At 46.2% G+C, this 12,630-nt stretch overlaps 1 protein-coding gene and 2 pseudogenes across 5 annotated transcripts in view, besides 4 other annotated features; all 3 read left to right on the top strand.

The window, feature by feature from the left end:
- MRPS17P1 (mitochondrial ribosomal protein S17 pseudogene 1) lies at positions 1,670-2,258 on the top strand (annotated as a pseudogene).
- Positions 5,165-5,789, top strand: PPIAP35 (peptidylprolyl isomerase A pseudogene 35; annotated as a pseudogene).
- Positions 6,757-7,338: an enhancer, noted in NCBI's record as "H3K27ac-H3K4me1 hESC enhancer chr1:45452269-45452850 (GRCh37/hg19 assembly coordinates)". NCBI's record gives its function as "activates a minimal SCP1, AML or CMV promoter by ChIP-STARR-seq in naive H9 embryonic stem cells {active_cell/tissue: H9 hESC(naive)}" and the evidence as "EXISTENCE:reporter gene assay evidence [ECO:0000049][PMID:30033119]".
- Positions 6,997-7,046: an enhancer, noted in NCBI's record as "active region_957". NCBI's record gives its function as "activates an Ori minimal core promoter by ATAC-STARR-seq in GM12878 lymphoblastoid cells {active_cell/tissue: GM12878}" and the evidence as "EXISTENCE:reporter gene assay evidence [ECO:0000049][PMID:35858748]".
- Positions 7,117-7,206: a silencer, noted in NCBI's record as "silent region_823". NCBI's record gives its function as "represses an Ori minimal core promoter by ATAC-STARR-seq in GM12878 lymphoblastoid cells {active_cell/tissue: GM12878}" and the evidence as "EXISTENCE:reporter gene assay evidence [ECO:0000049][PMID:35858748]".
- Positions 7,297-7,566: an enhancer, noted in NCBI's record as "active region_956". NCBI's record gives its function as "activates an Ori minimal core promoter by ATAC-STARR-seq in GM12878 lymphoblastoid cells {active_cell/tissue: GM12878}" and the evidence as "EXISTENCE:reporter gene assay evidence [ECO:0000049][PMID:35858748]".
- The window catches only part of EIF2B3 (eukaryotic translation initiation factor 2B subunit gamma), a 136,074-nt gene continuing 130,783 nt past the window's right edge, over positions 7,340-12,630 (top strand). For all 5 annotated transcript variants that reach the window (XM_047433500.1, XM_047433499.1, NM_001261418.2 and 2 more), the window contains exon 1: positions 7,340-7,442. The gene's annotated coding sequence lies outside the window, so the exon portion shown is untranslated. The remainder of the gene's footprint in view (positions 7,443-12,630) is intronic.

The following is a 12,630-nucleotide window of genomic DNA, read 5'->3' as shown; positions in this document are numbered from 1 at the left end:
AGTAAGAGCCAGGAGGAATCCATAAGGCAGCAGCTCTTCAAATGTGCTCCATGGGTTCCCGGGAATCCCTAAGACCCTTTCAGGGGATCTGTCAGGTCAGAACTATTTTCATAATAATATTAAAATATATTTACCTTTTTCATCATATTGATATTTGCATTGATGGTGCCAAAGCAATGGTGGGTAAAACTTCTGGTGCTTTATTAAGCATGAATCGAAGCATTGGCACCAAACTGTACAATAGTCATTTTATTTTTTAGTCCCATACACTTTTTAAAAAATTAGAATAAACATTAAGGCCAGGCGCAGTGGCTTACCCCTGTAATCCTAGCACTTTGGGAGGCTGAGGTAGGAGGATCCTTTGAGCCAAGGAGGCAGAGGTGCCAAGATCATGCCACTGCACTCCAGCCTGGTCAACAGAGCAAGACCCTGTCTTAAAGAAAAAAAAAAATTGGCCAGGCGCAGTGGCTCACGCCTGTAATCCCAGCACTATGGGAGGCAGAGACGAATGGATCACTTGAGGTCAGGAGTTTGACACCAGCCTGGCCAACGTGGTGAAGCCCCGTCTCCACTAAAAATACAAAAATTAGCCAGGTGGCGCACACCTGTAATCCCAGCTACTTGGGAGGCTGAGGCAGGAGGATTGCCTGAACCCGGGAGGTGGAGGGTGTAGTGAGCTGAGATCATGCCACTGTACTCCAGCCTGGGTGACAGAGTGAGACTCTATCTCAAAAACAAAAACAGGCCGGGCACAGTGGCTCACACCTGTAATCCTAGCATTTGGGAGGCTGAGGCGAGCGGATCACGAGGTCAGGAGATCAAGACCATCCTGGCTAACATGGTGAAACCCCATCTCTACTAAAAATACAAAAACAAAATTAGCCGGGTGTGGTGGTGGGCACCTGTAGTCCCAGCTACTTGGGAGGCTGAGGTGGGAGAATGGCGTGAACCTGGGAGGCAGAGCCTGCAGTGAGCCAAGATCGCGCCACTGCACTCCATCCAGCCTGGGCGACAGAGTGAGACTCCATCTCAAAAAAAAAAAAAAAAGAAAGAAAAAAAATTAAACAAAGTCAGTTACACTTAAGAAGGTCTTTGATTAAGCAGTAAACTATATTAATTTTATTAAACCTTGGCCTGAGTACATGTCTTTTTTTTTTTTTTTTTTTTTTTTGAGATGAAGTCTCATTCTGTTGCCCAAGCTGGAGTGCAGTGGCATGATCTTGGCTCACTGAAACCTCCACCTCCCAGGTTCAAGTGATTCTCCTGCCTCAGCCTCCCAAGTAGCTGGGAATACAGGCACACGCCACTGTGCCCGGCTAATTTTTGTATTTTTAGTAGAGACAGGGTTTCACTATGTTGGCCAGGCTGGTCTTGAACTCCTGACCTCGTGATCCACCTGCCTCGGCCTCCCAAAGTGCTGGGATTACAGGCGTGAGCTACTGTGCCCAGCCCATTTTTTTTTTTTTTGCTACCAAATATACTAGTTTACTGAGTATGTGTCTTTTTAATATTCTGTATGATGAGATGGGAAGTACACATTTAACCCTTCTGTGCATACAAAAGAAGTATGATGGTTGTCTCCAAGAGAAACAGTTTTGTGATAGTTTGAGCTGCGAGTTGAACTACTGCTTTTTCATGGAGCACTATATTGAATCGAAAGAACAACTGGAGGTGGCTGCACAGTCGTGGCGGAGGTGACCAAAGCCACATAATGTCCGTAGTTCATTCATCCACCCATGCCAAGTGGATCGTGGGGAAGGTGATTGGGACAAAAATGCAAAAGACTGCTAAAGTGAGAGTGACCAGGCTTGTTCTGGATCCCTATTTATTAAAGTATTACAATAAGCGGAAAACCTACTTTGCTCACGATGCCCTTCAGCAGTGCACAGTTGGTGATACTGTGCTTCTCAGAGCTTTACCTGTTCCGCGAACAAAGCATGTGAAACATGAACTGGCCGAGATTGTTTTCAAAGTTGGAAAAATCATAAATCCAGTGACAGGAAAGCCCTGTGCAGGAATTACCTACCTAGAGAGTCCATTGAGTTTGGAAACCACCCAGCTAAGCAAAAATCTGGAAGAACTCAATATCTCTTCAGCACAGTGGAGGAGGAGTGGAAGAAGGCACTAAAGGGAAAGATTGACATGTTTATGTTATGGAAAAAGAAATTTTTCTAAGTTGCATTGCAAACTGTGTCCAGTTTATCTGTGATGTTTATGAAATAGCTAAAAGCAAATGAAGGGCATATTATGGTTTTTCATTTAAAAAAAAAAAAGAACTGACCAACTATGCCTGCCGATGTATAAACAAAGTGAGCCAGTTACTTCAAGGGAAACCACTAATAGTATTTGCTGCCAATGAGCTTTGAAGAGAAAATTAAAATTTTGGGGGTTTTTTGTTTTTGTTTTTGTTTTTCTGAGACGGAGTCTCACTCTGTAGCCCAGGCTGGAGTGCAGTGGCGCCATCTCAGCTCACTGCAAGCTCTGCCTCCCGGGTTCACGCCATTCTCCTGCCTCAGCCTCCTGAGTAGCTGGGACTACAGGCACCTGCCACCATGCCGGGGTAATTTTTTTGTATTTTTAGTAGAGACAGGGTTTCACCGTGTTAGCCAGGATGGTCTCAATCTCCTGACCTCATGATCTGCCCACCTCGGCCTCCCAGAATGCTTGGATTACAGGCGTGAGCCACTGTGCCCGGCCAAAAATTAGAATTTTATAAAACTTGTATCTGTCATCATCAGCTTCCCAGCTTTCTAATATTTAAGAATTTTTCTGATGAAATTGTTAGTGATATTAACAAATGTGATTTTAAAATATTGTATAATGAGTCAATGTTAGGAAGATCTGCATAACTCTGTGAACGAATATTTTACATATTATTTGTATACCAAGTTGCAAGGTCATGCATGGGTAAAATGTCCATTCAAAGTGCAAGTACTGTAACAAGGTACAAAATGTTCATTGATATAATTTCCGATTCTACATTGCAACAAACCTTTAACAAACTACCACTTATTGAATTTTGGTATAGTGTCAAAGAATACCTATAATTATCTGAAAAGGCTATTAAAAGCTCTATCTCTTACCAACTATGTATCTATGTGAAGTCACATTTTTATGATATAATTAAACCAAAATAATATATTACAATAATGGAAAAATCAAGCTGTTTTCTATTAAGCCAGACCCTAAAGAGACTATTCAAAAAGGTGAAACAATGGCATTCATCTCACTAAACTTTTTGTTTTGAAAATGTAGTTGGCCAGGCACAATGGCTCATGCCTGTAATCCCAGCACTTTGGGAGGTCAAGGCGGGCGGATCACCTGAGGTCAGGAGTTTGAGACTAGCCTGACCAACATGGAGAAACCCCGTCTCTACTATAAATACAAAATCAGCTGGGTGTGGTGGCGCATGCCTGTAAATTCCAGCTACTTGGGAGGCTGAGGCAGGAGAATCGCTTGAACCCGGGAGGCAGAGGTTGCAGTGAGCTGAGATCGTGCCATTGCACTCCAGCCTGGGCAACAAGAGCAAAACTCCGTGTCAAAAAAATAATTTTTTTTCGATATGGTAAATATTGATAAATATAATCCATATAAACAAAAGCTTTCTGGGGTCCTCAGTAATTTTTAAGTATGAAGAGTCTAGAGATGAAAAAGTTTGAGAATTGTTGCCCTCAGGGAATAATTTAAAGTGAGTTTAAACTGAAGCAATCTCTCAACTACTTTCCACAATAGAAGAGAAAACCCTCTAGTTCGTTGAAAAACATTTGCTAGTTTAAACATAAGGATTTGAAATGGATGGCAGATATGGGGCTGACTGCTCTTCTTACTTATAATTAGTTCTTACCTCAAACCCATGCTGTAATTTCCAAGTCTTGGTTGAGGTAATACCAAAGAGAGAATATCTCTGTGTTTCTATAGAGGGGTAGTCAGACTTCAGGCCTCCTGTGGCCAGATCAGTCAGTTCATGGCAAGGCAAAGATAGGCTGGTTTTAGGATATGAGTCCCCCCCTTTTTTTTTCAGGGTCTAAGCAGACCTCCTTCTGGAAAAAATGACAAGTCCTAATCATTAACTGCTGTATCTGCAACACCAAGCATCTAAGACACTGCTTGGCACATATTAGGCACTCAAGATATTGTTGAAGCCAGTCCTCCATGGCACATACCTGTAGTCCTAGCTACTTGGGAAGCTGAGGCAAGACGATCGTTGAGCCCAGGAGTTTGAGTCCAGCCTGGGCAGCATAAGCTGACCTCATTTCTAAAAATAAATGAATAAATATTGTTGAATGAAGTCAAGCTCCTTTATTTTTATTACAGAAATCATGCTCTACCTTTTAACTGGCAGGAAGCTAAAGCAACTCAAGATTTAAGAGATGAATCAGGCTGGGCACGGTGGCTCACGGCTGTGTCCCAGCACTTTGGGAGGTCGAGGCGAACAGATCACGAGGTCAGGAGTTCAAGACCATCCTGGCCTATCTGATGAAACCCCTTGTCTACTAAAAATACAAAAATTAGCCAGGCGTGGTGGCGCATGCCTGTAGTCCCAGCTACTCGGGAGGCTGACGCAGGAATCACTTGAACCCAGGAGGCAGAGGTTGCAGTGAGCCAAGATTGTGCCACTGAACTCCAGCCTGGTGACAGAGTGAGACTGTCTCAAAAAAAAAAAAAAATTAATTAATCGAAAAAAAAGGAAGCTTTCAAAAGATTAGGAAATTGCAGGAATGCATGGGAAAAAGAGAATGGCCATTGGTCCTGTTATCTAGTGCAACTTGATAAACCACTCCAAACCGTAGAGCTTAGAACAACAATTATTTTATTATCTATTCGTCATTTTTTAATATTTATTTTATTTACTTAGAGATCCTGTCTCTTTGTTACCCAGGCTGAAGTGCAGTGATACCATATTGGCTCACTGCCACCTCTGCCTCTTGGGCTCCAGCGATCCTCCTGCCTCAGCCTTCCAAGTAGCTGGAACCCCACAGCGCGGCACCACACCTGACTAATTTTTGTATTTTTAGTAGAGAGGGTGTTTCACTACGTTGCCCAGGCTAGTCTCGAACTCCTGGGCCCAAGGGATCCATCCGCCTCACTTCCTAAACTTCTGGGATTACAAGCGTGAGCCACCGCACCTGGCCTATTATTGTTTTGTTAAAAGCAGGGTCTCGGCTTTGCAAATGCAGCCACCGACGCCAGGAGCTCTGTACGATCAGCCATGGTTAACCCCACCGTGTTCGACATCGCTGTCGACGGCAAGCCCTTGGGCCGCGTGTCCTTCGAGCCGTTTGCAGACAAGGTTCCAAAGGCAGCAGAAAACTTTCGTGCTCTGAGCAATGTAGAGAAAGGATTTGGTTATAAAGGTTCCTGCTTTCACAGAATTATTCCAGGGTTTATGTGTCAGGGTGGTGACTTCACATGCCATAATGGCACTGGTGGCAAGTACACCTGCGGGGAGAAATTTGATGACGAGAGCTTCGTCCTAAAGCATACACATCCTGGCATCTTGTCCATGGCAAATGCTGGACCCAACACAAATGGTTCCCAGTGTTTCATCTGCACTGCCAAGACTGAGTGGCTGGATGGCAATCCTGTGGTCTTTGGCAAGGTGAAAGAAGGCATGAATATTGTGGAGGCCATGGGGCACTTTGGGTCCGAGAATGGCAAGACCAGCAAGAAGATCACCATTGCTGACTGTGGACAACTCTAACAAGTTTGGCTTTTGTTTTATCTTAACCACCAGACCATTCCTTTTGTAGCTCAGAAGAGCACCCCTTCACCCCATTTGCTTGCAGTATTTTTTTTTTTTTTTTTTTTTGAGACGCTGTCTCACCCTGTCGCCCTCTCCCAGGCTGAAGTGCAGTGGCACGATCTCGGCTCACTGCAACCTCCACTTCCCGGGTTCAAGCAATTCTCTTTCCTCAGCCTCCCGAGTAGCTGGGACTACAGGCGCACGCCGCCATGCCTGGCTAATTTTTTCTTTCTTTCTTTCTTTCTTTTTTTTTTTTTTTTTGTATTTTAGTAGAGACGGGGTTTCACCATGTTGCCCAGGCTGATCTTGAACTCCTGAGCTCAGGCAATCTGCCTGCCTCGGCCTCCCAAAGTGCTAGGATTACAGACGTGAGCCACCACGCCCGGCCTGCTCGCAGTATCTTATCTTTGTGCTCTTGCTGCAGTTCCCTTTGGGTTCCATGTTTTCCTTGTTCCTTTCCATGCCTAACTGGATTGCTGAGTTAAGTTTATGATTATGAAATAAAAACTAAATTAAAAAAAAAAAACAGGGTCTCACTCTGTCGTCTAGGCAGGAGGAGTGCAGTGGCCCGATCATAGCTCACTGCAGCCTCGAACTCCTGGGCTCAAGCGATCCTCCCGTTTCAGCCTCCTGAGCAGCTGGGACTACAGGCACACACTACCATGCCCAGCTAATTTTTACTTTTGTAGAGACTGGAGGCTCTCTCGCACAGGCTGGTCTTGAACGCCCGGTTTCAAGCAATCCTCCCACCTCGGCTTCCCAAATTGCGGAGATTACAGGCATGAGCCACCATGCCCAGCCGCCCCCAGTTTTGATGGCTAAAGTTAACGTGAGTGGCCCTGTTACAAATAGGAAGTCCCGGGCCGGGCGCGGTGGCTCACGCCTGTAATCCCAGCACTTTGGGAGGCCGAGGCGGGCGGATCACGAGGTCAGGAGATCGAGACCATCCTGGCTAACACAGTGAAACCCCCGTCTCTACTAAAAATACAAAAAAATTAGCCGGGCATGGTGGCAGGCGCCTGTAGTCCCAGCTCCTCGGGAGGCTGAGGGAGGAAAATGGCGTGAACCCGGGAGGCCGAGCTTGCAGTGAGCCGAGATCGCGCCACTGCACTCCAGCCTGGGCGACGCAGAGCGAGACTCCGTCTCAAAAAAAACAAAAAACAAACAACAACAACAACAACAACAAAAACAAATAGGAAGTCCTGGCAACCCCTGCAGGGGCATTCGGTGATTTTTTTCACTAGCTAGCCAAAATTGCGGCTCCCAATGAGCTTTCTTTCACCGAATGTACTCGAAGCCAGGTCTTAGACTTACTCCCTGAGGAAAGAGGCTGAGTTGTTCCGTCTGGGTTCCCGGCACCCTGCACTGGGAGGAATACTCAAAAGGCGTTGGTAATGTGTTAATGGACAGAGGGACACACGTGTCGAATGCTCCTCGGTGGCCCCGCCCCCTCCGGCCCGCCTTCCCTCCTCTCCGCTGAGTGTGCTTCCCCTCCGTCATCCATCGCTCGGCGGTCTTCTCTTCTCCATGGGTCTGCTCTGCGCGTTCCATCGAGTTTCTCGGCCATCGCGCGCCTGCGCCATTGGGCTGTCAGTCAGAGGCGGCGTGGAGATCGCTGGGAGCGGTTGCGGCGTGCCGGGAGCTGAGTTATAGCTGTGACTTCTGCCCTGCCAGGCCGCACACAAGCTGGCTGACCCGGGTGAGCAGTGCGGTGGGGCCACTCATCTGAGGGAGGCGGGCATGTCGAACTGGGCCGAGGTGGACCCGAAGGGGTAGGAGAGGGTGCTGAGCCCCGAAGTTGTCAGCTCGACTCCCTGCTCGACCCGGTGTAGCTGTGTCCGAAGTAGAAGGGAGGTTGGGGATGAGAATCCGAGCCAACCACCTTATGCAACAGATGGAGGAACTAAGTTTCTAATCTCAGCTACTCGAGAGTCTGAGGCAGGAGAATCGTTTGAACCCAGGAGGTGGAGGTTGCAGTGAGCCTAATTCGCGCCACTGCACTCCAGCCTGGGCAACATAGTGAGACTCTCCGTTTCAAAAAAAAAAAAAAAAAGAAAAGAAAAGAAAGAAACGAAGTTTCGGGGAGGGTTCTGCTTAAAGTCACAGCGAGTGAGCGAGCACCAGACCGGTACCAGACGCCTTTAGCACTGTGCCTGCACTCTTTCAGCCTCAGCCCTTCATTCATTTGTTCAGCCTGCCTTTAGTTGTTTGGATGCAGGGCAGTGAAATATAGGGAGGAGCAGTGAGGTCTCTGCCTTCAGGCAGCACACGTGGAATGACAGACCAATTCTGATACAGTTTTCTTATCTATTTACAACTGGAAAAGGCATGAGTGCTATGATGCAGGCAAGTCTGAGATGCGGTGAACACCCTCTCCAAAGCTTGGGAGGCAGCGAGACTCGTTGCCATGATTCCCGTCAGCCATAGTCGTGGCAGTGACATGAGCATTTGACAGTCTGCCTGGTAGCATGATTAGTTATGTTCATGATTACTATTCATGCTTCCTAGGTTGCCTTTCTTCACCCAGGGCCTCCTTGAGAGCTGGAACCTCAGTTCCTAGTGACCTGGGTTCTAATGCCCTTATGCACATGTTTGAGTTTGACTCTTATACAGTTGTGAAGTTCACAGGTCCTCATTCCACTTTGATTTCTGGCATCTGACTGGGAATACAGTGATGATGCACACACAGTCCAAGAAAGTCACTCTTACACTCTTATGTAGACATTTAAGAGACATTAATGTTACACTTAAGTAGACATTTAAACACATACGTGCAATGAAACCCGTAAAGGCTAAGAGAATCTGCACATGGCAGAATGGAAGCACTTCGGGAAAAGGAGTCACTTCTGGAGGGGTGGGAACGGTTAGGAATGGCTTTGTAGGCAAGAGGATTCTTGAGCTGTCTTCAAAGTTTAATAGGTGATTACTAGACACAAGAGAAAGGCAGACTAGGAAGCAACAGTAGCAGTGCAGAGACCAGAATTATGAAGCAGCATGGCTCAATTAGTACGAAGGTTTTCCATAATCTAGTCTCTGTCTAGTAAAGCAAATACAAATATAGTGCTTCTCATAAGATGGACATTATTGGCCGGGCGCGGTGGCTCACGCCTGTAATCCCAGCACTTTGGGAGGCCGAGGCGGGTGGATCATGAGGTCAGGAGATCGAGACCATCCTGGCTAACAAGGTGAAACCCCGTCTCTACTAAAAATACAAAAAATTAGCCGGGCGCGGTGGCGGGTGCCTGTAGTCCCAGCTACTCGGGAGGCTGAGGCAGGAGAATGGCGTGAACCCGGGAAGCGGAGCTTGCAGTGAGCCGAGATTGCGCCACTGCAGTCCGCAGTCCGGCCTGGGCGACAGAGCGAGACTCCGTCTCAAAAAAAAAAAAAAAAAAAAGATGGACATTATTTTGTCTGCTTTACGTAGAATAACAAATTTAATCTTAACAACAACTCTGTGAAGTGAAACTATAATTATCCCCATCATAAAATGCAAAAATTGAGGCATAGAAAATTTACGTAGTTTGCCCTAGTTCACACAGCTAATAATAAATAGTAGAGCTAGAATTCAAACCTAGGCATTCTAGCTCTATGGTCTGTGAACCTAACCACCAGGCTTCCTTCTAGAAGCTGAGGACACTGAGAGTTTTAAATGTCAGGCCCCTGATCACACCTATGAGTGTCAGAATCATGACTCAAACTCATCTTTTGACTTTTTTTTTTTGGGACAGGGTCTCACTCTGTTGCCCAGGCTGGAGTGCAGTGGTGTGCAGCCTTAACCTCCCAGGCTCAGGTGATTCTCCCACCTCAGCCTCCCGAGTATCTGGGACTACAGGCATGCGCCACCATACCTGGCTAATTTTTTATAGAGATGGGGTCTCACCATGTTGCCCAGGCTGTTCTAGAATTCCTAGGCTCAAGTGATCCTCTCATCTTGGCCTCCCAAAGTGCTGGGAGCATGAGCCACTGTGCCTGGCGCTCTTTTGGCTCTTTTTTATTTTATTTTATTTTTTTTGAGACGGAGTCTCACTCTGTCGCCCAGGCTGAAGTGCGAGTGGTGTGCTCTCAGCTCACTGCAGCTGCTGCCTCCCGGGTTCCTGTGATTCTCCTGCCTCAGCCACCTGAGTAGCTGGGATTACGGGTGCCTGACACCATGCCTGGCTACTTTTAAAAATGTTTTTGGTAGAGGCCGGGCGCAGTGGCTCATGCCTGAAATCCCAGCACTTTAGGAGGCCAAGGCAGGTGGATCACCTAAGGTTAGGAGTTCAAGACCAGCCTGGCCAACATGGTGAAACCCTGTCTCTACTAAAAATCCAAAGAATTAGCCAAGTATGGTGGCGGATGCCTGTAATCCCAGCAACTTGGGAGGCTGAGGCAGGAGAATCGCTTGAACCTGGGAGGCAGAGGTTGCAGTGAGCCAAGATCATGCCATTGCACTCAACCTGGGGAACAAGAACTCTGTTTCAAAAAAAAAAATTTTTTTTTAGTAGAGACAGAGTTTCACCAAGTTGGCCAGGCTGCTCTTGAACTCCTGACCTCAGGTGATCCGCCCGCCTGGGCCTCCCAAAGTGCTGGGATTACAGGCGTGAGCCACCACGTCCAGCTCATCTTTTGACTCTTAAGGGTCCAGTGCTCTTTTCATAATAACATTTGATGTGGTGGATGTTATATAATACCAAAATGAAATTAAATTACACTTTGAGGCAATGCTTGCTAGAATCTACATGACCATATCTTTACATTGTGAATGTTATGCAGGAGCCTTCACTTTGTGCCTTGGGTATAGTAGGTGTTAAGTGCTGCACTTTAGATGTTGATGTGCTGGGCCCAGGAGTAATAATAATTATAGTAAAGTTGCAACATTATTTGGCAATTTGATGTTGAATAGATTGTTTCTTCTGAACGTTACATTTTAACACATTTGTTCTTAAAATTACATCATTGTAAGAGAAAGTACTTTCAGTTTAAATCAGTAAAGATCGGTCAGGTGCAGTGGCTCATGCCTCTAATCTCAGCACTTTGGGAGGCCCAGGCAGGAGGCCTGAGGCCAGGAGTTTGAGACCAGCCTGGGCAGCATAGTGAAACCCCATCTCTATAAAAAATTAATTAAAAGAATTAGCCAGGCGGCCAGGTGCAGTGGCTCATACCTGTAATCCCAGCACTTTGGGAGGCCAAGGTGGGCAGATCACCTGAGGTTGGGAGTTCGAGACCAGCCTGACCAATGTGGAGAAACCCTGTCTCTACTAAAAATACAAAATTAGCTGGGCAGCTGGGCGTGGTGGTGCATGCCTATAATCCCAGCTCTTTGGGAGGCTGAGGCAGGAGAATCACTTGAACCTGGGAGGCAGAGGTTGTGGTGAGCTGAGATCGTGCCACTGCACTTCAGCCTGGGCAACAAGAGAGAAACTCCGTCTCAAAAAAAAAAAAAAAGCCAGGCATGGTGGTACCCACCTGTAGTCCCAGCTGCTCCAGAGGTTGGGGCAGGAGGATTGCTTTAGTGCAGGAGGTTGAGGCTGCAGTGAGCCATGATCTTACCACTGCACTTCCAGACTGGGCAATGGAGCAAGACTCTGTCTCTAAATAAACAATAAATAAATAGGATGGGCACGTGGCTCACACCTGTAATCCCAGCACTTTGGGAGGCCGACTCCGGTGGATCACCTGAGGTCAGGAGTTTGGGACCAGCCTGGCCAACATGGTGAAACCCCATCTCTACTAAAAATACAAAATTAGCCAGGCATGGTGGCCCATGCCTGTGATCCCAGCTACTCGGGAGGCTGAGGCAGGAGAATCGCTTGAACTTGGGAGGTGGAGGTTGCAGTGAGCCGAGATCACGGCATTGCACTCCAGCCTGGCAACAAGAGTGAAATTCCATCTCCAAAAATAAATACATAAATAAAGATTTATGACCTTCTACTGTGCCTCTGTTCTGTGGTAGTTTCTGTAAAGAGATTCTTTTCAAAGTCAAATAGGTTTGTTTATTACCTTGAGTTTGAAAAAAGGAATTAACAGTTTGGTTTGTTTTTATAATTGTGTTCTGTAAATCTAGGTTCAGATACAAGCCTACGTTTGTGTTTATAGTGATATCTTTAAAAATTGGAGGAATAAGATGAGCCGATGGCTGAATTATTGGAGGAGTCTTAAGTCATTTCATACTTTTCAGAAGCCTAACATGCTTGTGTTTCTGCTGTTAATTCTAGTCAGGCATCTTTTAATATTTTCTTTTTTCTCTCTTTTTTTTTTTTTTTTTTTGAGACAGGATCTCACTCTGTCACACAGGTTGGAGTGCAGTGGTCCAATCTCAATCTCGGCTCACTGCAACACCTGCCTCCCAGGCTCAAATGATCCTCCCACTTCAGCTTCCCAAGTAGCTGGAACCATAGGCACAAGCCACCACCCCTGGCTAATTTTTTGTATTTTTGGTAGAGATGGGGTCTCGCCATGTTGCCCAGGCTGGTCTCGAACTCCTGAGCTCATGTGATCCACACACCTCAGCCTCCCAAAGTGCTGGGATTACAGATGTGAGCCACCTCACCCAGCCTAATATTTTCAAAGAATAAAAATTCACACATCAGAAGTCCACTTGGTAAACTCTTACTTCTTCAGAGTCAGCTCAAGCATCACTTTCTATAAAAACTTCTCTGTGTTTTCAATGAAAACTAGGTGTTCCTTTTATTGTATGCCCACTGTATCTTGGATATTTTTCTGCTGTGGCACTAATGACATATATTGTGATTTACTGAATTTGTCTTCTCCACTTAATTGTGAATAACTCAAGGGCAAAGCCCCTGCATTCCTATCCTCCCACTTTTACCAAGGATAGAACTGAGAATACATATTGGTAGACATAATGTTTATCTGCAGCTAAGCTTTTCTTACTGTGATTGCTA

This window comes from Homo sapiens, chromosome 1 (assembly GCF_000001405.40).
Source record: "Homo sapiens chromosome 1, GRCh38.p14 Primary Assembly".
NCBI lineage: Eukaryota > Metazoa > Chordata > Mammalia > Primates > Hominidae > Homo > Homo sapiens.
The sequence above is the reverse complement of the archived record's forward strand: the minus strand, read 5'-3'. Positions and strand labels throughout refer to the sequence as shown.